At 42.4% G+C, this 23,013-nt stretch overlaps 1 protein-coding gene and 1 long non-coding RNA gene across 16 annotated transcripts in view, besides 1 other annotated feature; one reads left to right on the plus strand and one right to left on the minus strand.

Annotated features, from left to right (window-relative positions):
• The window catches only part of SLC1A2 (solute carrier family 1 member 2), a 169,303-nt gene that overhangs the window by 17,416 nt on the left and 128,874 nt on the right, over positions 1 to 23,013 (minus strand). For all 15 annotated transcript variants that reach the window (XM_047427443.1, NM_001439342.1, NM_001195728.3 and 12 more), the window contains 2 exons: positions 18,137 to 18,331; positions 12,247 to 12,381 (listed from right to left, as the gene is read on the minus strand). In XM_047427443.1, coding sequence (XP_047283399.1) covers positions 12,247 to 12,381; positions 18,137 to 18,331 — 330 coding nt within the window. The remainder of the gene's footprint in view (positions 1 to 12,246; positions 12,382 to 18,136; positions 18,332 to 23,013) is intronic.
• Positions 4,126 to 4,175: an enhancer, noted in NCBI's record as "active region_4622". NCBI's record gives its function as "activates an Ori minimal core promoter by ATAC-STARR-seq in GM12878 lymphoblastoid cells {active_cell/tissue: GM12878}" and the evidence as "EXISTENCE:reporter gene assay evidence [ECO:0000049][PMID:35858748]".
• SLC1A2-AS1 (SLC1A2 antisense RNA 1) lies at positions 13,192 to 17,582 on the plus strand. The gene is made up of 2 exons (XR_001748185.2): positions 13,192 to 13,295; positions 16,717 to 17,582. It is a non-coding gene; the product is annotated as an SLC1A2 antisense RNA 1 (long non-coding RNA).

Genomic DNA, 23,013 nt, shown 5'->3' on the forward strand with positions numbered 1-23,013 from the left:
TGCCACTACACTCCAGTCTGGGCAAGAGCAAGACTCTGCCTCAAAAAAAAAAAAAGAAAGAAAGAAAAGAAAACAAAGAATATACTTTATAGATACTACCTTATTAACCCTCACTGTAACTCTGAAGAGGTAATATTATTCGTATTTACTAGATGACAGAACTAAGGCCTGGAGAGATTAGTGGCTTCCCAAAGTCTGACATCCTAGTAAAGTCATACAGCAAATGTGAACACAGGCGGTACCATTCCAGAATCCACCATCTGCCACATGTTGAGAAGCACCCTGGAACCACACAGCCCTGATTTTGAATCTAGCTCAGCCACCTACTAACTGTGTGATCTGGATGACTTACTGCTGTGATCTGAACGTTTGCATCCCCCCAAAATTCATATGACGAAACCTAATCATCTCCAAGGTGATGGTATTTGGAGATGGGACCATTGGGAGGTGATTAGGTCACAAGGGTGGAGCCTTCATGAATGGGATCAGTGACCTCAGAAAAGAGGCCCAATAGAGACTCCTTGGCCCTTCTACCATGTGAGGCAGAGTGAAAAGATAGCTGTCTATGAGGAAGCAGGCCCTCACCAGACACAGAATCTCCCAGTGCCTTGATCTTGGACTTTCAAGCCTCCACAGAACTGTAAGAAATAAATTTTTGCTGTTTATACGCCACCTACCTGGTCTATAGTATTTTGTTATAGCAGTCTGAATGGACTAAGACACTTTCTCAACCATAATTTTTCTCATGTAGCCAAAATAACTATTAATATTTTGTAGAATTTGGGGAAGACAAATTCAGTTCCTAGCCTATGGTTGACACTCATTATGTGCTGGGTCCTACCGTTTTTGGGGATAACTCCACTCACACACCATGTTATGAACAAAAGCACAAAATATTATGCTAAAGGGTTAATGACTTTTCCAGTTTAACACATCCATTTCCACTCAAGTGGTTGACATAAGTTTACAAACGACTGCTTCTTCAACCCTTGACACCAAATCCTTGCTCTCCAGAAGCAGCCACTGAAGCAGCCAAGTTTTTGGAATAGGATTTCTGAGTAAGTTTTCCCCACATTTTTTCTTTTTACCACCACATCTCTTCCATGCCATCAAATCTCCTTGAATTTGAAAAAGAACTCTGGCCAATGAAATAGCCATTAAGACAGGAATGGATGGAAGACAGAGTTGTATAGAATAAAAGCAGACTGGCCGGATGCAGTGGCTCACGCCTGCAATCCCAGCACTTTGGGAGGCTGAGGTGGGTGGATTACTTGAGGTCAGGAGTGCAAGACCACCCTGGTCTCTACTAAACCCAGTCTCTACTAAAAATACAAAAATTAGCCAGGCGTGGTGGTGCACGCCTGTAATCCCAGCTACTCGGGAGGCTGAGATAGGAGAATCGTTTGAGCCCGGTAGGCAGAGGCTGCAGTGAGTCAAGATTGTGCCATTGCACTCCAGCCTGGGCCATAGAGCAAGACTCTGTCTCAAAAATGAATGAAAGAATATTTTAAAATGAATTTTTAAAAAACAATAAAAGCAGATTGATGCTTTTATTCTTTTGATGCAAAATCAAGATGCAAAGGGCCCTGGACCTTGGGTGAGAACACTAACCCAGGGCTTCTGATTCCCATTTGAGCAAATAACTTTTCACCTGAGCAAGGGAATGAGGCTAATCCCAACCTCACAGGAGGTTGTACTAAGCGGAATAAGAGAAATACTAGACATCCTTTAAGTACTCATTGTAGGTTACAGGCATACATGAGCAAGAAAATGTTCCTTTTCTTACACCTGTTAATAGCTAAGTAGAAAGAAGAAAACATCAACTCTAATAGTTTGAGTTCTTTGTTAGTGAATTTATTTATTCAACAGATGTTTAATAAGCATCTTAGAGTGTGTAAGGGCACTATGCCAATTGCTTAGGCAGCAAAAATCCTTCTTAAACTCCCTTTTCCCCAAGAACCCACGTACTGTTTATTTGTCTACCTCCTCCACTAGAGTGAGATAAATGTTCAAAAAGAAATGAGTACAGAGTGCTACAGGGTCATGTAGGTAGAACACTATCACACTTGGGTCATAAGAAAAGCTTTAAGTAGAAGTGTCTTGAGTTGGGCCCTAAGGATAAGTCCAAGAAAATGAGATAGAGAGAGGAAAGAAATAATATGCATGAAATCTAAGAGGTAGGAACACTTAGATGAATTCAGGATGGCTAACAAGTATAGTGAGAGACGCAGAAAGTAAGAATTAACCAAATCATGTATGGCCTTATCAGCCAAGTTCAGGAGTTAGTCTTTATCTCAAGTGTAATGAAGAGCCATTGAAAGAAAAGATCATGTTTGTTCCATTGTGAAGAACGAACTAAAAAATCATAAGCCTGAAAGAGTGAAATCCAGTTAGTGAGGATATGATGGGTTTGGAGAAAGATGGATTTGAGCAAGACTCAGGAGACAGAATTATAGGACTTGAAGACTGATTGGTTATAGGGAATAAAAAAGAGTCAAAGATTCCTCTCAGGTTTCTGGTTTGGGCAACCAGTAGACAATGTAACCATATGTAGGGAGCATGGTCAGTTGGAGCGGGAAAGATTCTGGCTTTGGTTTGGACACGTTGAGGGTGAAGCATGTGACTCAGTTATGAGCAGATGCCCCACAGATGGCTGGTAATATAGACTGATGGTCAGGAGACACATCTGTGATGCAGGTGATAATAGGACTCATCCCATAGAGAAGGCTGAGGATGCCACCGAGGTGCTTAATTAACCCTTGGAGAGAATGCAGAGTGTAAAAAGCAGACAGTCTAGGCTGGAACACTAAGGTCAACCAACTTTTAATGAATGGGCAAGATAAGAGCCTGCAAAAGTTAAAGGAAACTAGAAGAGTTTGTCATTTTGTAAGTAAATGGAAGTATGCTTCAAAATAAGGGTATGGCAAACAACCCTAATTATTATCTAGGGATCAGGTGAGATGAGGGTAAGACGTTTCTCTGGGAGGCTGAGGTGGGTGGATCATGAGGTCAGGTGTTTGAGATCAGCCTGGCCAGCACGGTGAAACCCCATCTCTACTAAAAATGCAAAAAATTAGCCGGGTGTGGTGTCGTGCACCTGTAATCCCAGCTGCTCTGGAGGCTGAGGTGGGAGAATCGCTTGGGCCTGAGAGACGAAGGTTGCAGTGAGCCATGATAGCGCCACTGCACTCCAGCCTGGGCAACAGAGCGAGACTCCATCTTAAAAAAGAAGATTCTTTTGGTTTTAACAACAAAGAGGTCACTATTGGCCTGGCAAGAGCAGTTTCAATACAGAGGTAGTGATAGAAGCCAGCTCACTATAGGTAAAAAATGGAAAGTGAAGTGAAGAAATGGAGACATTATGTATAATCAGCTTATTCAAGATGATTGATTGAGAAAGGAAGGAGAGGAAATGGCAGATGGAAATGGAAAGGAGATCAAATTTGTGTTTTGTTTTAAGAGGTAGAATATTTGAACATGTTTAAATCAAAATGAGAAGAGGTTGGTGGGGAAGAAGTAACTGAAGATACAGAGAAGAGGGAATAATTGATGAAGTTAGGTTCCTAGAGAGATCAGAGAGGATGGAAGTCCAGAGTGGAGATAAAGGCCATTTCCTTTGGTGGAGGGACTGTATTCCATCAATACAGAAGGGAAGGAGTAAAAGGTAAGATTATGAAAATAGGTTTCTAAGTGAGAAGGCAGGACGTTAAAGGGGATCTGTTAAACAGAAAGCTGTCAATTTGGATTAAACTAGAATACAGAGCCCTCTCATGCCAGGTTTCTCTGCCACAAGGCATTCTGGGAAGATTCCCAGGATGCCCAGCCAGGAGGTAGGTCATGGCTGCTCTGCATGGGTCTTCCTTTCTGAAAATGCTGCAAGGCAGAACACCCTTGAGGCTGCCAGGGGAATGTCTGACCAACTCTGGGGAAGTTTAACTGGGGCCCAAGGCAGGACATGGGAGTTTGTGGTTCATGTGTGGAAAGTTTCTTCACAGGCAGAGTTTCATTTTCTCTCACAATCATCCCTCACCACTCAGGAAACCCTGTCTTTCGCGTTGCCCTCAAGAGCTTTAAGGCTTGGTAAAAGACAACTTTTAGAGTGTGTGACACCATCTTTGGGTCTGGACGCTGTGTGTCAGGACTGCAAGAAGGGGATGAAGATGAAAGCAGATCTTGCATTTCATGGGTTTTCTACAGATGACACGGCTATGCTTTAGAGGTCACCAGGAACCAAAAATGAGAGAGGGGCTTGACCGAGTTACTTCACACTGAGTCACTGGGTCTGGTTCACTGAAAGAAAAACAAGTACCAAGGTACTCTCTCTCATCTTCATCTCTCAGTCTAAATCCTCCAACAGGGAAATGTGAAATCGTCTGGAACTCCTGGTTCACAGAGAAGAACAGGGCTGAGGGAGCTGTCACCCACAATTCATCTGGTGTCTTGCATTGGATTGAACCATATGAAATTGCCATTTATTTCCATATAAAAAGGTCAAATATTGGCAATTTCATATGGTTCAACTTAATATTGATAGAAACAAAACATAGCACCTGCCTCTCAGGATGCATGGTGCGAAGGGACTGTCTTTAGGGGCAGGGTGTGGAAGAGGGGTCACTTGAGGCCCCAAACCCGAGGAAGGCTGGCACAGCTCTGGGCATTCAAGGGCTAAAGTCACATGGGGTTAGGGAAGAAAAGGAGATCCACGTAAGCATTGGCTAAGAGCGTGAAGTCCGGATACCAGCCTGGATGACACTCCCAGCTCAAGCATTAAAGATTTCTTAGCCTGTCCTGCTCAGCTTTCTCATTCGTAACATATGGAGAGGGATACTCACCTGCAAGCATGTTGAGAAGATAATAACTGCTAACATGTATTGAGTGCTTGTCAACCAAGAGGTCCTCCACCAAGGCTGTTTTATATAAAAGGCTTATATGACCCAGAAGAAGCTTCTCATTATATTACCATTTTTAGTCCAGGTGAAAAGGGGATCAGAGCATTTTCTCTTTTATTCCTCCCTACACCTTATCCATTTCTTTTTGCACCTAGGAGGCTCCATTGGGATTTCTTGACCCCATTACTAGACTATAAGCTCCTTGAGGACTGAGACTATGTTTCATTTACTTATGGCACAGGCTGGGCAGGGGAGAATGGGGAGGCTGGTATGTGGAAGGGGCAGGACCAGGATGGATTGTGAATTTAAGACTTGAAAGCAGATTAGCTCTAGAGACACAATTGGTTTTTGTTTAGTAAAACATCTGGTTAGATATTTTCGTGGTAAAAAGTCAGGATGCAGGCCATGATCTAGCAGGATGAGGAGAGAGGCACAGAGAGCTCAGATTACTTTACAGATGAAAAGGAGAGGGGTGTCCAGAGAGCTGGGGAAATATTCAAAGATGGAGAACAAGGAGTCCCAAGGGGAAATTCCCAGGGGTGGGGAATACTAAAAGATTTTTTAGAAAAGGAGATGCCTAACATTACATTTTTATTTTATGTCTGTGCTACCTGAAATTATTAACAGTGAAATAACACTTGAGATTCAACAGTCGATGAAGGGGAGACGACTTCTTTTTCATTTTATTACTCTTTTGAACTTTGTCCTTCCCTTTGCTATGAACATGCATTTATTTTGTGATATATCAAAAAATGATTTTGCTGCGCAGAACTATAGCCCTGCCCCATCCCGCCTTGATCTGCAATTATGCTGCCTCAAGTCAGAGAAACTTTGGTGAGAGAGGAAAGGACTTAGTGGAAAAGGGGCCACATTCCATGGGGAGGTTGATGTAGACCGGAGATAAGATGTAAAAAAGAGAATTCAGTGGAAGTGGGAAATCAAAGCAAAAGACTAAGATAGACATAAGCCCCTAAAATCTTCAAAGAAAAGGTTAACGTAGGAATTAGTTTTGTTTTCCACCAGCCATGAGTGGAGGGTCAGTTAGTTAAGTTTGTGTGTGTGTGTGTGTGCATGTGCATGTGTGTGTCTCAAATTTTTAAAACAGCAGAACTCAGATGAGCATGCTTGGAACACCCAAGGATATCTAGATCATCTGGGTTTGAACCCCAATTCAGCCAGTTAATATCCACTAAATTGGGATAAGTTACTTCTCTCTGAACCTGTTTTCTCAACTGTAAAACAATGATAATACTATTAGTTGCTTCATAATCTGCTGTGACTTTCAAACGAGCCCATGTAAAGTGCTTAGAACAATATCTAACACTTAAGGAGCACTCACTAAGTATTAGCTATTTGCATCCTGTATCTTTTCAATCTATTTTTTTGAAAGGATGCATCAACTGTCAAGAGTTAACTCAAAAAAAAGTAGAGGTGCTCATATACCCACAATCAGAAACTCCTGTTTTCCTTCTCCGTCTCTAGTTCATTGCTTCTGGAAGGGAGAGTCCCTGGAGATTGCATCATCAGAATCACCTGGGAACTTGCTAGAAATGTCAATTCTCCAGCCCCACCTCAGATATATCTCTGGGAGATTTTGGTGCATGCTCGAGTTTGAGAATGAATGCTCTATTCTCTCCAGAGAGGAATGCTGTTGGGAGGAGCTTCAGAGCCCTCCTGGAGGGTGGAGGCTCTTTGAGGTCTTCCTTCTAAGTGCCGTCTCAACTATATTCCCCAATTAGCACATGTGAGCCCAGAAAAGATCTCACTAGCAGAGTCTTATGTGAGAATTAGGCCATAGGTCCACTCGGATTTCACTTTATTTTGATTTTCCTTTTCCTACCTGTAGCCAGACACAGTTATTTATTACCTCTTCCTGGTATTGGCTCCCATTTACCACTCCATCCTGCCTCCTTCAGAGACACTGGGGTGTCAGCAAGGTCTCTTATAAATATCTGCCAAGGGCTCCTGACGCAAAGGGCTTCCTGGACCCAGGGGAAGGTTCTGGTTTTAAACAGTCCCACCCATCCAGTGCTCTGGGACTCGGCATTTTTCAGGGCTCCAGAATCTTGGTTTTCACCATGACATTTACAGAGCAGCTAAGCCTGCCTGTTGAAAACCATCCAGGGCTTAGAGGGCAGTAATGAGGCTGGCTGGTCTCCAGCAGTTGGCAAACACTGTGACACATTAAATGTCACTGTAGGCTTTGTTTGGTTTTAAATTGAAAAATTGCTAGAGTTATGAAAGCTTACAAACCTTGGCTAAAGAGGTGAAGTTTCCCCCTTTTCTTTTTCTCTGCTTTTCCTCCACAGACTACTTATCTAGGGAATGGCCAGTTGCACCCCATCTCATCTTAGCCCCCACCACCACTTACACACTAATGAGCACCCAATAGTCACAGAGCTCACAACCAAGAGCTAGTTTCCAGAACTCCTCTTGCTGGTGAGAAAGAATGTGCCACCATTACTAATTCAAAGCAGATCTGACCTAGCTACAAACAGCTACACACATTTTCCCAGGATCCTCTACCCTTCCTTTTTCTTTTCCTCTTAAAAGGAATGCTCGTGCTTATTTGTATACAAACATTCATCCCCAGCAGAATTCTACTCTAGGTCTTAAAACTAGAAGGGCACTCAAAGGCATTGAACCTAGACTCTTGCTTCCAACCTGATATGTTATTGCCCCATTTTACACATGATGTAGCTGAGGCTCAGAAAGTCACTTGCCCAAGGTCCTTTAGATAGTAAGTGCAGAGCTCAGACTGAGGGCTCCTGCCTCTTAGACTCTCTTTCCCTTGATCACACTCCTCCCTCCATTTGAGATCAGAGCCCCAGAACTGGACAACAGCTCTTCATTTGCTCCTTTCTTCCCAGCTCCAGCCTAGGATGGGGTTTTCTATTATATGATTTCATCAACATAGTTAATCCAAATGTATCATCCTTTTTAAAAAAAAAAAAAAATTCAGCCAACTCCCTTCTGCTGACACACTTCAGCCCTGGAGTTAGGACGCTCTGCTTTCCTTTGCAAGTGTAAGCATGTGAGCACCTGCATGGGGTGATCTGGGAGGGCCCAGCCCTCCTGTTTCATTTGCTAACATTTAGGTCAGAAGTAGGCAGGGTTTTGAATGTTTCATGAAGTGACTCACATCCAACAGGCTTGAAAACAAGTGACTGCCAAGGACCAGGACCTACAATGGCAGACCCACTGGGGCTGGAAGACTTGAATTCTAAGGGTGGCCAAGACCTTGATTGTACCCCATTTGTCCTCATTGAGCCTATTTGTTTTATTTTCATGCTGAGAGAAGAAAAAAATAGGTCAAAAATATTTCTCTGGTTAGCATGCAGAATCAGGTGTGTCTTAGTCTGTGCTGCTATAGCAAAATACTTGAGATTGGGTAATTTATATAGAACAGAAATTTATTTCCTCAGAATTCTGGAGGTTGGGAAATCCAAGATCAAGAAACTGGTATCTGGTAAGGGCCTTCTTTCTGCATCATGACATAGCAGAAGGCAGAAAGACAAAGAGAGGGCAAGAAGGGGCTGAATTCACCCTTTTATAATGCACCAACCCCACTCATGAGGGTGGAGCCTTCACGATATAATCACCTTTTAAAGGCCACACCTCTTAATATTGTTACAATGGCAATTAAACGTCAACATGAGTTTTGGACTGGACAAATATTCAAACCATAGCCCAGTGGGTGGCCCTAATAAGTGTGTCTTCTCCAACCGTTCCAACTCTGGGCCTCTCTGCTCCTCCTCCCCACTGTTAGAACACTTAGTACAAATTAGGAGGCTGTGTGGAGTTGGGTGAAGTGTCCTGACCTGGCCATACAAGCTCTGCTGTGCATCAGGCAAAAGACTCAACCCTTCTGATTCCCAGTTTTCTCATCTGGAAATACAGCATAGGGCACCTTAAGGATTAAATGGAGACAGATGTAAAGACATTGCAGTACCCACCAAATATCACCCCTTTTCCTCACTCCTGATCATATTAGTGCATTTTTTTCCACTCAAAGGCATTTGTATTATAATGGGGGGCAGCCTCTATAATAATATTTTTTAAAAAGATGAATTTCTAATGGTGGTTTAAAGCCTTGGAAATAAGCCCAAGAAAAAAATGAGGCAATATTGTCACAGCAGGCGAGGGACCCTCAATGACCACAAGCATTGAAAAGACTTGAGAGGCAAAGAGTCAAGGGTTTAAGTAAGCAACAAGTCATGGGGAAAGCCAGCAGAACTTAAATGGCTTCCTTCGTCTTTCTTTTCATGTGGATGGACCCAATTATCACACAGCAACTATGTGGTTAAGAGTAGCTCACATTTATTGAGCTGCTACTATTTGCTCTGTCTCTAGACCACTGCCAATGTCTTTATTTCCCTTTTGTCCCCCTTCCATCCATGGCCTACCCCATTCCTTTGTATCCTTCATCCCCTTCTCTCACAATCCTTCTCACCCATACACCACCATTGACTCTCAGCTGCCTTGTCTGAACAGATGTCATGAGAAAGGCTGTCCCTTGGGGCCAATATAGGACACAGAGAATAACCAAGCTAGCAGGTAGGGACGCCACTACCACCACCTGAGAGACTGGCAGAGACAGAGATGAGGCTATTTTGTTTGCTTGTCACCTTCCGCTAAAGGTATTTCCTGAGCATTTTCTGATGATGAAGGAGCCAATCAGGAAAATCTATGGCCTTCCTTGCAGCCCTCCCAAGTTGAACTGATTCTGTTCAGGGAGCCACTTCTTACTTCTGTTTTTTTTTGTTTTTTTTTTTTTTTTTTTTAGATGGAGTTTCACTCTTGTTGCCCAGGCTGGAGTGCAATGGCACGATCTCAGCTCACTGCAACCTCCGCCTCCCAGGTTCAAGTGATTCTCCTGCCTTAGCCTCCCAAGTAGCTGGGATTACGGGCATATGCCACCACACCTGGCTAATTATTTTTGCATTTTTGGTAGAGACGGGGTTTCTCCATGTTGTTCAGGCTGGTCTTGAACTCCCGACCTCAGGTGATCTGCCCGCTTCAGCCTCCCAAAGTGCTGGGCACTTCTTATTTCTAACCTAAGCCCTGTTGTCTGCACCAACAGCAGGCACATCTTATGGAGAAGTCAGGCTTCTTTCTAGCCTTCCCAGCTGTCCTTCCTCCCTTCGGCCACTTGCATTTTCCTCTCTTTGGAAGGGTGGGAGTGGGAAGCAGAAACAGACTCAAGTCCACAAAATGTGGCTTCTGAGGCTGGGCACAGTGGCTCACCCGTGTAATCTCAGCACTGTGGGAGGCTGAGGTGGGCCGATCACTTGAGGTCAGGAGTTTGAGACCAGCCTGACCAACATAGTGAAACCCTGTCTCTACTAAAAATACAAAAATTAGCCGGGTGTGGTGGCACATGCCTGTAGTCCCAGCTACTTAGGAGGCTGAGGCCGGAGAAATGCTTGAACCCAGGAGGCAGAGGTTGCAGTGAGCCAAGATCGCACCACTGCACTCCATCCTGGGCAACAGAGCAAGACTCCATCTGAAAAAAAAGAAAAATGTGGTTTCTGGCTCTTAAAATCAATGCCAATAAATGTCAGAAAATTTGCTACTGGCAAGTCAGGCAGTTTGAAAAATAAGTGTGGGCACTTTGGCCTTGGGACTCTGGGCCAGCACTTGTCACTCTGTGCCTCTGACATTGAAGACTGGCATTGCCGGAGGCCCTATCATTTAACTCCAGTGCTGGACAGGAGGCATCAGATTACATCTCACAGAACATCCAAGCCCAAGTGGGCACTTAGAGGGGATCCATTCCAACCCCCTTGTCGAAGACCATCTGGTTAGACTTTCCCACCTTTGTGAATGGGCAGTGAGTATTCTACATGAGGAAAATGTCCTTCACTGGGAAAGGTAGCTGAACTACCATACATGGTCAAGTTCAAGTTTCTCTGCATGGCCTTTGAGGATGTCCGTCTTGCTCACCTTTCACCACGCCCTGCCTCCAAGAGTACCAGACCACTTGTACATCCTCACACTGCTGGTAGCCTCAGTGCCTTTGTGCAGGCTGGCCTTGACTGGAATGTCCTGTCTCCCCGTCTCCCTACATACACCTGAGAAACTTTTACCTATTGGTTATGATTCAGCTCAGCTACCACTGCCTTTAGAAGCTTGAATGTGACCATAAACAAGAATTTGTCAGGCTCCAGAGGCAGCCTGACCTAGGGTCGAATATCTGTCCATTTCTAAGTCTCTTTACCTCTATAAACCTCAGTGTCCTCATCTATAAAGTGGGAATAATAACATTTAACTTTCAAGGTTGTTAAAGAGGAAGATGTAAAGTGCTCAGTCTAGTAGCTGGAACCTAGTGAACACTCAAATTCAGTAACCACTTTCATGTTTCTTGATATTCTCCGCTCTGTCCTTCCATTCTTGACTGGGATGAAGGCCTCTCTCTATCACTATGCTTTTATGTGTGTGCTGTGTTTTAATCACTTTACTGAAGCATAATTTACATACAACAAAACGTACCCATTTTAAGTGTGTGTTTTGAAGAGTTTTGACAAATGTAGACACCTGTGCATACCTGTGCATATGGAACATTTCTGTCACTCCCAAAGGTTTCCTTGTGTTCCTTCCCAGTTAATCTCTATCCCCCTATACCTGGCCCAAGAAACCACTAATCTCTTTCTTTTTTCTTTTTTTTTCTTAGGCAGAGTCGCACTCTGTCCCCTAGGCTAGAGGGCAGTGGCACAGTCTCAGCTCACTGCGACCTCCGCCTCCCGAGTTTAAGCAATTCTCCTGCCTCCGCCTCTTGAGTAGTTGGGATTATAGGCACATGCCACCACGCCCAGCTAATTTTTTGTATTTTTAGTAGAGATGGGGTCTCACCATGTTGGCCAGGCTGGTCTTGAACTCCTAACCTCAGATGATCCACCTGCCTCGGCCTCCACAAGTGCTGGGATTACAGGCATGAGCCACCGCACCCAGCCCCAACTGATCTCTTTCTATTGATATGTGGTACATCGTCTTTTCTTAGAGCTTCATATAAATGGAATCATACAGTACATACTCCTTTGTTTCTGGCTCTATTCATTCAATATAATGTTCTGAGATTCTTTGAATGCATCAGTAGCTGGTTCCTTATTACTGTACTTTTAACCTTGTGTCATAATCTCTCTGATTCCTCCACTAGACTGTGACGCCTTCAAATATTTCATCTTTTTCTTCTTTGGTTCTCAAATAGGTCCTCAGTAAATGTGAGCGGGAAGGAGGAAGGAAGAGTGAGGGAGTTGCCATGGGGATTAGCTAAGATCTTGGTTGCAACCTTGCCACCTGTGCATCCCTAGGAGGCAGTACTCACAGTCCCAGCAGAACCCCATCCACAGACACTTACAGCAGCCAGTCCACAGCCACCAGCAGGCTGATGTCCTCTGTTGGCAGGCCCACGGCTGTCAGAATGAGGAGCATGGTGACCAGCCCGGCACTGGGGATACTGGCCGCGCCGACGCTTGCCAGGGTGGCTGTGAGGCTATGAGAACAGAGAAGTTCAGGTCATGGAAATGGAAAGAATCTTAGCAAAACCAACCCTGGCAATTTTAAGCTCTAATTTTCCTGCAGCCATAAAATTCATCCCCCAACCCCCACCCCATACTCTCCACCAAGGAATAGAGAAATCTAAAGTACTAAGACCAAGGAATTAAGGATTAAGGCCTATTTGGGTACTGCTCAACTATGATGTAAGCTTATAAATTCATGGACTGGAGCCTTATTCCCATGATGCTATCCGGTTAGTCTAATATATCACAGGGCTCAAATAAGGCAAGCGTGGCTCTAAAAGCAGGCAAGGAAATATTAAAGATAAAAACAAATCACCCTTAATCCTCCCATGGGAACACAACTGCATTCATTTCTGCTTACGCTTTTATGTCTCTGTGAGCACCAGAGGCTTTTGGACTATGTGGCAAGGGTCTAAGAAGGCCATTGCCAAGGTTAACATGAGAACTCAGAATAGCAAATATCCAGACCCAACTGAGTTGGACATCAGGGAAACAAATCAACAGATTCCAAATGACACTAAGCGTCAGGCGCCTGGATGCCTCACCATGGGCTGGAAAATACATTATTCAGAAAGGGGATGCCAAGAAATGATAATGAAAGAAAGGAAGGCTTTCTTTCTGAAGCATCTCATCAGTTCTTTCCAAGCAATGCCAGGGCCACACCCAGCACCATTTTGAAGTTTGTCTCTGGGAGAGGGTTAATCTGGAGTTCAAGTGCCCTGTCCTGACACCAGGGAGTCTCTGTGGTCTGGCAAAGGGCAGTGACTCTTTTTCCTCTTTTCTAGATGCCATTTGTACAAAGCTGTCATATCAAAATGTCATATCAAAATATCCAAGAGTACTTTGGAAATATGGATTCCCAAGTTGTTTTTGTGGGTGCCAAAAGGTAAGGGGGACTGCTTTCTTTGTAGTTATAAAATACTAGAAATTTTATGAGCTGAGAGGCAGCCTCTCAAATTGTTTCAACTAAATCCAGGCCATCAGTTGACCAAGCACAGAATCCTGGGGTCTTATTGCTGAATATACCTAATCTTACGTTTGGAAGATTAAGGCCCCTGGAGAGCCTGTGGTTTGAGCTGTTTTTTCCCCTATTGCCATCATTCCCAGGTTTAGGCCCATCCTTGCATAGACACTTGCCCTGGGTGTGATCTACAGACCCCCCAACCACACCCTTCCCCTCCCCGTCCATGGTGTCAAGGCTCAGAGCACTCCAATTTCCTTGAATCCATCTGGGTCACAGGAGGTACAGTGTGGAGTGCTCAGCCGTGAAAGTTCTGCAGTTGAACAACCTGAGTTCAAATTCCAGCTCTGCCACTTAACCACATGACTACAGGCAACTTAACCTCCCTGTGCCTTGACTTCCTCATCTGTAAAAAGGAGATAGTAATGGTATCTCTCTCATGGGGTGGTCAGAAGCTTTCAGGAGCTAATAAATTAAAATGCACTTACAAGAGGCTGGGCACATTGCAACTCCCCCACCCCCACCATGCCCAGTGAATGTGAATTGTTTTTCTTATCAAGAAATCTGGACAGGACCAGGCTGCTTTGCAATGAAAACTTCCCTAAAGCCCTGAAAGCTGGAAGATGGGAATTCTCAACTGTTTCCCAAACAGACAGAACACCAGGGAAGGGGAACTCCCCAAGTTCCAACAGTCTTGACCTTGACTGTTTTATACACAGCATCAGTTGCTCTGAGTCACTCTTGCACATCCCTTTGCACTGTGGTTAACATTAACATTATCTGGTTATCCTTTGGTTGTGTGAGACAAAGTCTTAGAAAGATAATTCTTCCTGGAAGTTGCTTTCCCCTCTTGTCCCTAATAATACCCTCACCCTCCGGTAGGCACTGTCTCTGTGTGTGGAATTCTAAGCCCTGCAAGAGCTTCTTGGGCAGTGATTTTCCCTGCATCCCTCATTGCCTTCTGCTTTGCCTGGCCTTCCACTCCCCTGGCTCACTTCTCTAGGGTTCCTGGAAGCTGTTAAGATACTAGACACACAATATCAGAGCAGAACCTCACAGTAACCCTGCAAGGGACATATATGGTAACACCTGCTTTCACCGTGAGGAAAACACAGATAGGATGGGTGGAGAAACTTAGGTCACACAGCTTGAACATGGTCTGCTGGGATTTGAACACTGGTCTGCTTGATTTCAATGCCACACTTGTCCTTGATGGCCTTGATCCCTCCCTACACTGAAAATTCTATGAATTAATAAAAATGCTAAGAATTTCTAATCACTATTTTCCTACATGCAGTGAAAGGAGAGAAATGAAAATTTTACTTGGAAGCGCAGCCTGAAGATAGATTTGGCTATTTTCCTCCAAACAAACTGCAGGCATGAAGTATATACACCCGTGGTGGGTGCCCCAGAGGTAGCCCTTGTGGTGTCTACAATTTAGGAGGATTTGACTGAACCCACCCAGGGGCCAGAGATTTAAATGCATATGGTCAAACTCATCTTTTGTCAAGTGAAAATGCTCAGTAGTATCAGTTAATATAAAACAAACCCTGTGTAGATAAATTTATAGAATTTAAGCACAAATTCAATCACTCACTGGTCCATTCTCCCATCTGTAAGTTCCCATCTAATAGTGGGAACTTAATGGAAAATATGGTTACCATCAAGACCAAGAGTCGAGATACCAGAAATTACCTTTGCTTGGCAAAAGACTTGCTTAAGAAGCCCTTTTCATCTTTGAGTTTTAAAGCAAGGGAGGTTAGTAGTCTCGTGATATCTGTTAGGACATAATTTTGAAAGGCTTGATCTTCTGACCTGAAGTATATTTTCCATTGTCAGTAACATCATGGTACTCATGATGTCACAGCCACATTTTTCTTTAATATTCTAGGAGTATTGTGTATTTTATTAGACATCAATAATAATAATAGAAGCTAACATTTATTGACTGGTGCCTGGCTCATACTCATAAGAGACTATAAGCCAGGCACCATGTTCTCAGCCACCCTAGAATTTGTTATTGTTCCCATTACGCAGATGAGGAAACTGAGGCTCCCTTATAGTATATAATTCATAGGGTGGTTGTGAAGATTTTATTATATATATATATATATATATATAAATTATTATTTTGCAACCCAACAGTATAGTATAGTGGAGGCAGTGTGTGTAATGGTTAAAAACACAAACCCCAGAGTAAGGTGGCCTGGGTTCAAATCCCATTTCTGCCTGTTACAAACAGCATGATTCTGGCCCAGTTACCTCAACTTACTGTGCCTCATTTTCTCCATCTGTAAAATATAGAACCCAATATCTACTTTGTAGGGCTGTTTCTAGGATCACAAGTTAAATAAATGGAAGCATATGCCAGCATTTGGAAACTTAAATTATAGTTGTTCCTCTAGACGGCTGTGTGTGATCTATTCTCTGAGCCTCTGTTTCCTTATCTATGTATAAGGTGAGATAATTTAGCAAGAGAACCACTGGGAGACATTTCAGATGATACATTCTAGCTGATTAAATAAATGTGATTGTTATTTCATGTTTTCATATTGTGTGTGTGTGTGTGTGTGTGTGTATTAAACATGGTGAATTTTTTCTTTTCTCTATTTGCTGACTGAGTTGCTAAAGTGAACTCAGATGCATATGGGATATTCACTAAATCTTCTGGAATGGTTAGAAGGAGAGAGGAGAAAGCTGTGTTTTAACAAAAATGTCCTTGAGCTGGTTGAATACCTCAGAGCTAGATAGATCAAGCAAAGGCTCTGAAGTGGCCATTCCATGGCAATATCAGCCCCTAGAACACATAGAGGACATGATTAGAGCAAATTTCCAGCACTGCTACAGACACTGGGTGGTCCCTGAGCTTGGACTTTTAAAAAGCCTGAGCATGTAGAGACATCAGACCCAAATGAACACTGCCTCTTAGGAGAGATCTCCTAAAATGGCCTTAGCCCACTAAAGGCCTACCAGAGAATGGGCTGTTGAATAACATGAACCAAGCAGACACCAGATTATTACCAAAGTTTCTAATATAGAGATTGACAGTGCTGCCCGGGGTTTGAAGTGGGAGAAAGAGGCTAGTGCCTTAGCCTGAACCCAAAAACTATTGCCCCTTCTAATGCCCAATGGAAAAAGTCAATAAAAACACTATTCTAATGTCTTTTTTTGAGTCACAGTCAGAAAGAAGAAATGACCTGTGGTTGGAAGAGGTAAACTGTGGAATAGAAATTTGACTTGTGCCTCTGGCACCCATAGCCATGAGACCTAGGTTTGTCAGATAATTTCTTTGAGCCTCACATGCCTCCTCTGTAAAATGGGAATAATGACTATTCCTTCTCTTCAGGACTGCTGGTCATGTTCAAAGCAATGTATGGAAAGAGTCCGCCATCTCAGAGGAACCAAAGAGTGGAGTGATTATCATCATGGAGGATGAAAGTGTATTCCAGTGTCTACCTCATTCATTTCCTAAAGTGAATCACCCAGGCCTTGGCTGTTCTAATATCTGGAATTCTCTTTCTACTACAAGTACATCTGTCACACAGAATGTTACCCACTTACTCCCTATGTTTTCTGATCACATAGAATCTGAGAGGGGAAATAAAACTTATAAATTGTTGAGTCCAAGATTGACAAACTCCGTTGTCTTAAAGGGCTAAGCTGTGGTGACAGGTGCAGCAGGCCAGGCATAAGTAATAGGGAGCAGGGGAGACTGTGGGAAACTGAAGGGCAGCTGTCTCATAAGAGGATGAAATTCTAATCTTTTACAATATATTTCAAGGCAAACAAAGCAACACTCTGGGCTGGGAGTCCATCCATGAACTACCAACTTTTAGCCCCAAATTATGAATACCTTCCTTATTTATAGATGAGGAAATTGAGACTGAGAGTAGGGATATGACATAAGGCAGAAATTGGCTTCTGGCTTAATTGAAGCATTTAGATGGGTTGGGAGTGATAATATTAAAAAGATGATTGCAAAAAGCTTTATTTCATGCTGTAATGTCAATATAACATTGAATGGGCTGAAGACTGATATTTTCAATGACTTAACCTATAAGCAAGAAACAGAGTGTTGGCTTGGCTAGTAGGTGTGATCTTTAAGTTTATGGTGAGGCAATGCATTTTTAACAATCTCTTAGGAAAATGTTCTTTCTGAATTTTTAAAATGATGAATACATTTAAATAAAAATAGCTTTAGTAAAAACAAAACTATGTGCTATTTATTTGTAATAAAATCTTATATGTCATATTGAGGAATCTCTTCCAGTATTTTGTAATTTCTGCCATTACCCTCTGGTGATGGAATATTGAAGGGAGCATATTTCAGTGAAACAAAAATTGGATCCAGAGTCAGCTGATGTTGGCCTCAGTTACAGTCCTGCCAAATCATTACTGATGTTGGCCTCACTTACAGCCATGCTGTAGCCATGGACAAACTACCATGCCTCTTGGTGCCTGAGTTTCTTTGTCTATTAAATGGGCAAAGAAATTACCCTGCTTCCATCACAGGATTGCTAAAAATCAAATAATATCCAATTTCTAAAGCAAGTTGACATGTGCAATACAAACAGGAGGTATTAATAAGAGTCTTCTTTCTTGTCACAATCTTTTCCTTTTGAAGGCTGCCAATAGTTTCTCTTTTTTTATTACCTTCATTGTCTTCCACCAGCAGAAATGAAATTCAAGTGGCCTCTGTCACATGGAGTTAGTGTGGAGGGGAAACAGGGTAGAGGTTGTTTTGTGTTTTACCCCACCCTTCTCACCTTACAGTCACAATCTGTCCTCCATCCAGGACAACACCATTCATTTGGGCTATAAAGATGGCGGCTACCGCTTCATAAAGGGCTGTACCATCCATGTTAATGGTTGCTCCAACAGGAAGGACGAATCTAGTCACACGCTTATCAATCCCCAGATTTTCTTCCAGGCAACGAAAGGTGACAGGCAAAGTTCCAGCACTGAGAACAAAGAGAAAGAGAGAGACAGGGTTATGTCCACTTTAGAGAAGCAGGACAATGCATAAACTGGAATGCCACTGCATCCTTAGTTTTTCTTGTTTTGTGTCAATCAAGCAATGTGACATGCAAAAAAGCAGTATCTGGAGCCAGATTAAAAACTCGTGAGTTGGAGGCTCAAATTCAATCTTATTAAGACACTAATAGGCAGCAAAATATTTTCATTGGTTCTGGTTTTGGAGATATACTCAGAGCTTGAAGATTTTTTCTTTTGGCCACTGTTTCCACCTTGGATTCGATATTGAAGTGCATCTGATTGCCCATATTAATTGGGTTGCAAAAAAAAAAAAACAAAAGCCAGCTATGTCAGAAAAGAATCAGCTATCAACAGCAAAATGGGATGAGGAATTTTTGAATAACCCATAATTTCATGCTAGAAATGCTGTTTCCGATAAAATGACTGAATGGATTGCATTTAGCCCTGGGAAATTGTCCTGAGCTGGACTTGCTAATTTCCATAACAACAAACATGTCCAGCACACTTCAGCATGAACCTGAGCTTCAAGCAATTCACTGGGGAACCTCACAGATAGTCCAACACCCTGATATATGCTCATCGGCCAATTCTACAGTCACTTCAATGACATGGAGCAGGAAAGCATGTGCTCATTAGCAAATCAAAGACTAAATATGAAGGGACTTCACCCCCACTCCTCCCAGGCCTGGGATGTGGATTCGTGACCACATGACCAAGCCTCGAAGGCCAGAATTCCTGACACGTTCATATGTCTTCAAAATTGGAGACCAATAAACAGTAAGGGTTGCTAAAGGCCAGAATATTATTTCCATGTGGATAGAAGTGCCTGGGAGGGTGAGTGGATTTGCTGCAAAGTTTAAGTAATGTAGAAAGCAATGCAGAACACTCAAACTGCCATGGAAGTGCTTCATGGTCCATCCTCTTGATTTTTTTCTATTCAAACTTTAGCAAAGTGAATTAGAAAACCTGCAATGCAGATAACATTTGGAGGTGTTTTCTCTCTTGCACTTACAGCTTTTGTCAAAGTTTCCTCCTTCTACTGGTCAGAATTAGTGACCAAACTGGACATAGATCCCTGTAGAGGTCTTAGTTTCTCAAAGAGTGGGAGAAGACCATCTGCTCCAGGGAAGCTAAATGAAATGAAGATTCCAGGGCCTATCCAGAACCAACGAATCAGAAGCCCTAAAACTAGGGATGCGAGATGTGCATCTTATCAAACCACTGGCCCACGAGCTCCTAAAACAACCTTAGGAGAGCCAGATTTCTCTTACCAGAACATTCTTTGTGATTTCAAGTCAGGGGTCTGTCTCATGCCTCCTTCTTGGTCTGGGGTAGGAAGAAGAATTGTTTGTTGGGGGACATCTCATAACTAAAATCTTGCAAACCCAGGGCAAAGTTGGAGCCTGGCCTCATTTGCATGCAGGGGATGGCATCAGACCTAGCTTGCTATCTTAATGAGAAGTCAGTGTCCCTTTCTTCCTCTTACCCCACCCTTTCCTGGGCCCTTTCGAAGGGTTGCCAGGACACCAGGACTGGTATGAGATGACTGCTCAGTTGTGGTTGGTGGCCAGGATTCTCGATTGCAAGCATTCTCAAATCTAAGGATACTTCTGGAATTGCTGGCATACATTTATGTTTATTATTGCATTCATTTTTCCAAAATGTCATCAAATGGTCTTTGGACAATTAAGTCGACTGGGAAAAATGATTGGTAAGTATAAAAATATCCTCTATTTCTCTACTGGACAGGCTTTTTGTCTTAAAAAACCCACCCACCCAATCAAACTAGGAATTGCTGGCATACATTTATGTTTATTATTGCATTTATTTTTCCAAAATGTCATCAAATGGTCTTTGGACAATTAAGTCGACTGGGAAAAATGATTGGTAAGTATAAAAATATCCTCTATTTCTCTACTGGACAGGCTTTTTGTCTTAAAAAACCCACCCACCCAATCAAACTAGGACTTGAGAATTTTAATTTCAAGCTTTCCTGTGTGGATGGGCTGACATGCTGACATTGCTTTTTTGGTTCCTGCCTCAATGGCCATATGACAGCCTTCAAATGTTGCTAATAATAACTGTCAGATATTTGAAATGCTTCTTTTGTTTTTTAAGTATTAGTTTTAACAGACTGCACTGAAGTTGGAGGGCTGAAGACAGGTCAGTCTCAGGCCACCCCACTCCCTCTGTCCTCCCTGACACCAGCCTCTGGAACCATTGAGAAAAGATGTTCAACTACCCTCAACGTCTTTATTCTGTACAAGGGCCGAGGAGGCAGGAAGGATATTTTGTGGGCTGTCCCTGGGTTTTACATTTTTTTTTTTCTTCTCTGTGACCATGATGGCAAAGAAACCTTCAGTTAATTCTCGGTACATGACTCACGCCACATGGCCTTTTAAAAAAAGAAATTCCACATCCAGGCAAAAACCACATTTTAACTAAAGATTAAAACCACTTTTTTTTTTTCAAATGAAATACAGAGTTAGGGGAAGAAATTGGTCTAATATTAGCAGCCTTGGTTGGATAATCTGAGCATTTGTCTCTGATTTAAATACAAATTTGGGCCATGCAAATCCCCTTAAGATTCACCTTGTCTTATAAAGTTACTGAAATAATGTTCTAGTCATTCAAAAGAAAATAATACTAATATTTTTGAAATAGTTGAAAGATCTAAACCATAAAGGTATTGGAAGAAAATAAAAAGTCATATTGTATTAACTTGGAGAAGCTATTCCTAAGCAAAATCTAAATTCTAAATTCTAAAGAAAAGTATTGATAGCTTTGACTAAGTACAAATTTAAAACTTCTAGAGGCAAAAAGCACAGTAAATTTTTAAGACAAATGTCAAGTGAAGAGGAGGATTATTTGCAACTTGTGACACATGAGCTAATATTCTTATACAAAAAGAGAGCTTGAAAATCAATCAGGAAGGGACGAATACCTCAACAGGAAAATGACCAAGTTCATGAACAATTCACAAGGCAGGCGAAAGGGGAGGGGAAGGAGAAGTAAAGATATGCATATCCCATGAGATTACTTTTCACCCAATAGGACTGGAAAGCATTAAAGTGACTGGCAATATCCAGAGCTGGTAAGCAAGCAGGGATGGGCACACCCTCAAACCCCAGTTAATGGGAACATAAAATAATACATTTTTCTGAATAGCAATCTGGTAATGTGCTTCAAAACTGTCAATGTGCATACCATTTGACTCTGAAATTCCACTTATCCTGAGGGGATCATCATACAACCTTGCAGAGATGTATTTGTAAGGATGTTTGTCACAGCCCTGTTTAATAGACATGCCTTAAATATACATCACTGTGGCTAGGACAGGGTGGGGTTTGCATTGTAGTACATACAGTGCATTATTATGCAGTTTAAAAAATGGTAGTAAAGTCTATTGCAATAGATACAACTTTTATGATACGTTGACCAGTAAAAAAATAACTATTTATAAAACAATATATACATACATAGTAAGAACTTGAAAGATATATAACTAAAGACTAATTAAAAGGTTATGACCAGTTATCACTGGGTGATAGAATAATTGGCAAAGCTCATTTTCTTCTTCAAAATTGTATTCACTGCCTGAACTTTTTCACATTGAGCCTGCAGAAATTTTATTTTATTTTTGTTTTCTGGTTATGAGCCTGGTATGAGATAAAGTATGAGATACCAGGCTTATAACCAGAAAACAAAAATAAAATTAAACCAGGTTGGGTTTTTTTTTTTTTCTCTTTTTCTTCAAGTGAAGATCTGTATGGATAGAGATACTTAGTCATGGAAAATTTATAAATCAAGAAGGAAATTTTGAAGTGTTTTCCTTCATCTTCGGAAACTGGGTAAAGAATCTAGACCCTTAAGATTGTATATATTCCAGCTTTGTCTGAAACTCCATTTTCTACTAGCACTGAATCCTCATTGATTTGCAAGATGGAAGTTTTATTTGGCTTCCCAGGTGGTTGGCATTATTGGTCTGTTAGGTCGCTTAAGGGAAACCTGACTGACTGCTCAGTAGCCGTGGAGCAACAGGCCCTGCTGCGTCATGCAGTGGCACCTCCCTAGCATTGCATGGGCACAGGTTCTGCAACAAGGACCTGAATGATGAGCTATGGGTTTCAGAATTTGCTTGCCTCCCTGCCACCTGTTTTATGATTCAGTCTTAGTTTTGTGACCCAAGGACATATGTGCAGAAATAAAACAATGATTGCAAGCTGAAAGTAAAACACTAGTCTTAAAAATTCTCAATTGTAAGGCATTTCTTTCTTTCTTTCTTTTTTTTTTTCAGATGGAGCCTCACTTTGTCACCCAGACTAGAGTGCAGTGATGCAATCTCAGCTCACTGCAACCTCTGCCTCCTAGGTTCAAGCAATTCTCCTGCCACAGACTACCGAATAGCTGGGATTATAGGCGCCCCCCACCGCACCTGGCTAATTTTTGTATTTTTAGTAGAGACAGGGTTTCACCATGTTAGCCAGGCTGGCCTCGAACTCCTGACTTCAAGTGATCCGCCTGCCGAGGCCTCCCAAAGTGCTGGGATTACAAGCATGAGCTACTGCGCCCAGCCTAATTGTAAGACGTTTCTTATGTATTTCTTCTTGTTCATTTTTTGGTTTGTTTTTGTTAGATTCAGTCCAAG

The sequence above is a fragment of the Homo sapiens genome, chromosome 11, assembly GCF_000001405.40.
Source record: "Homo sapiens chromosome 11, GRCh38.p14 Primary Assembly".
Lineage (NCBI taxonomy): Eukaryota > Metazoa > Chordata > Mammalia > Primates > Hominidae > Homo > Homo sapiens.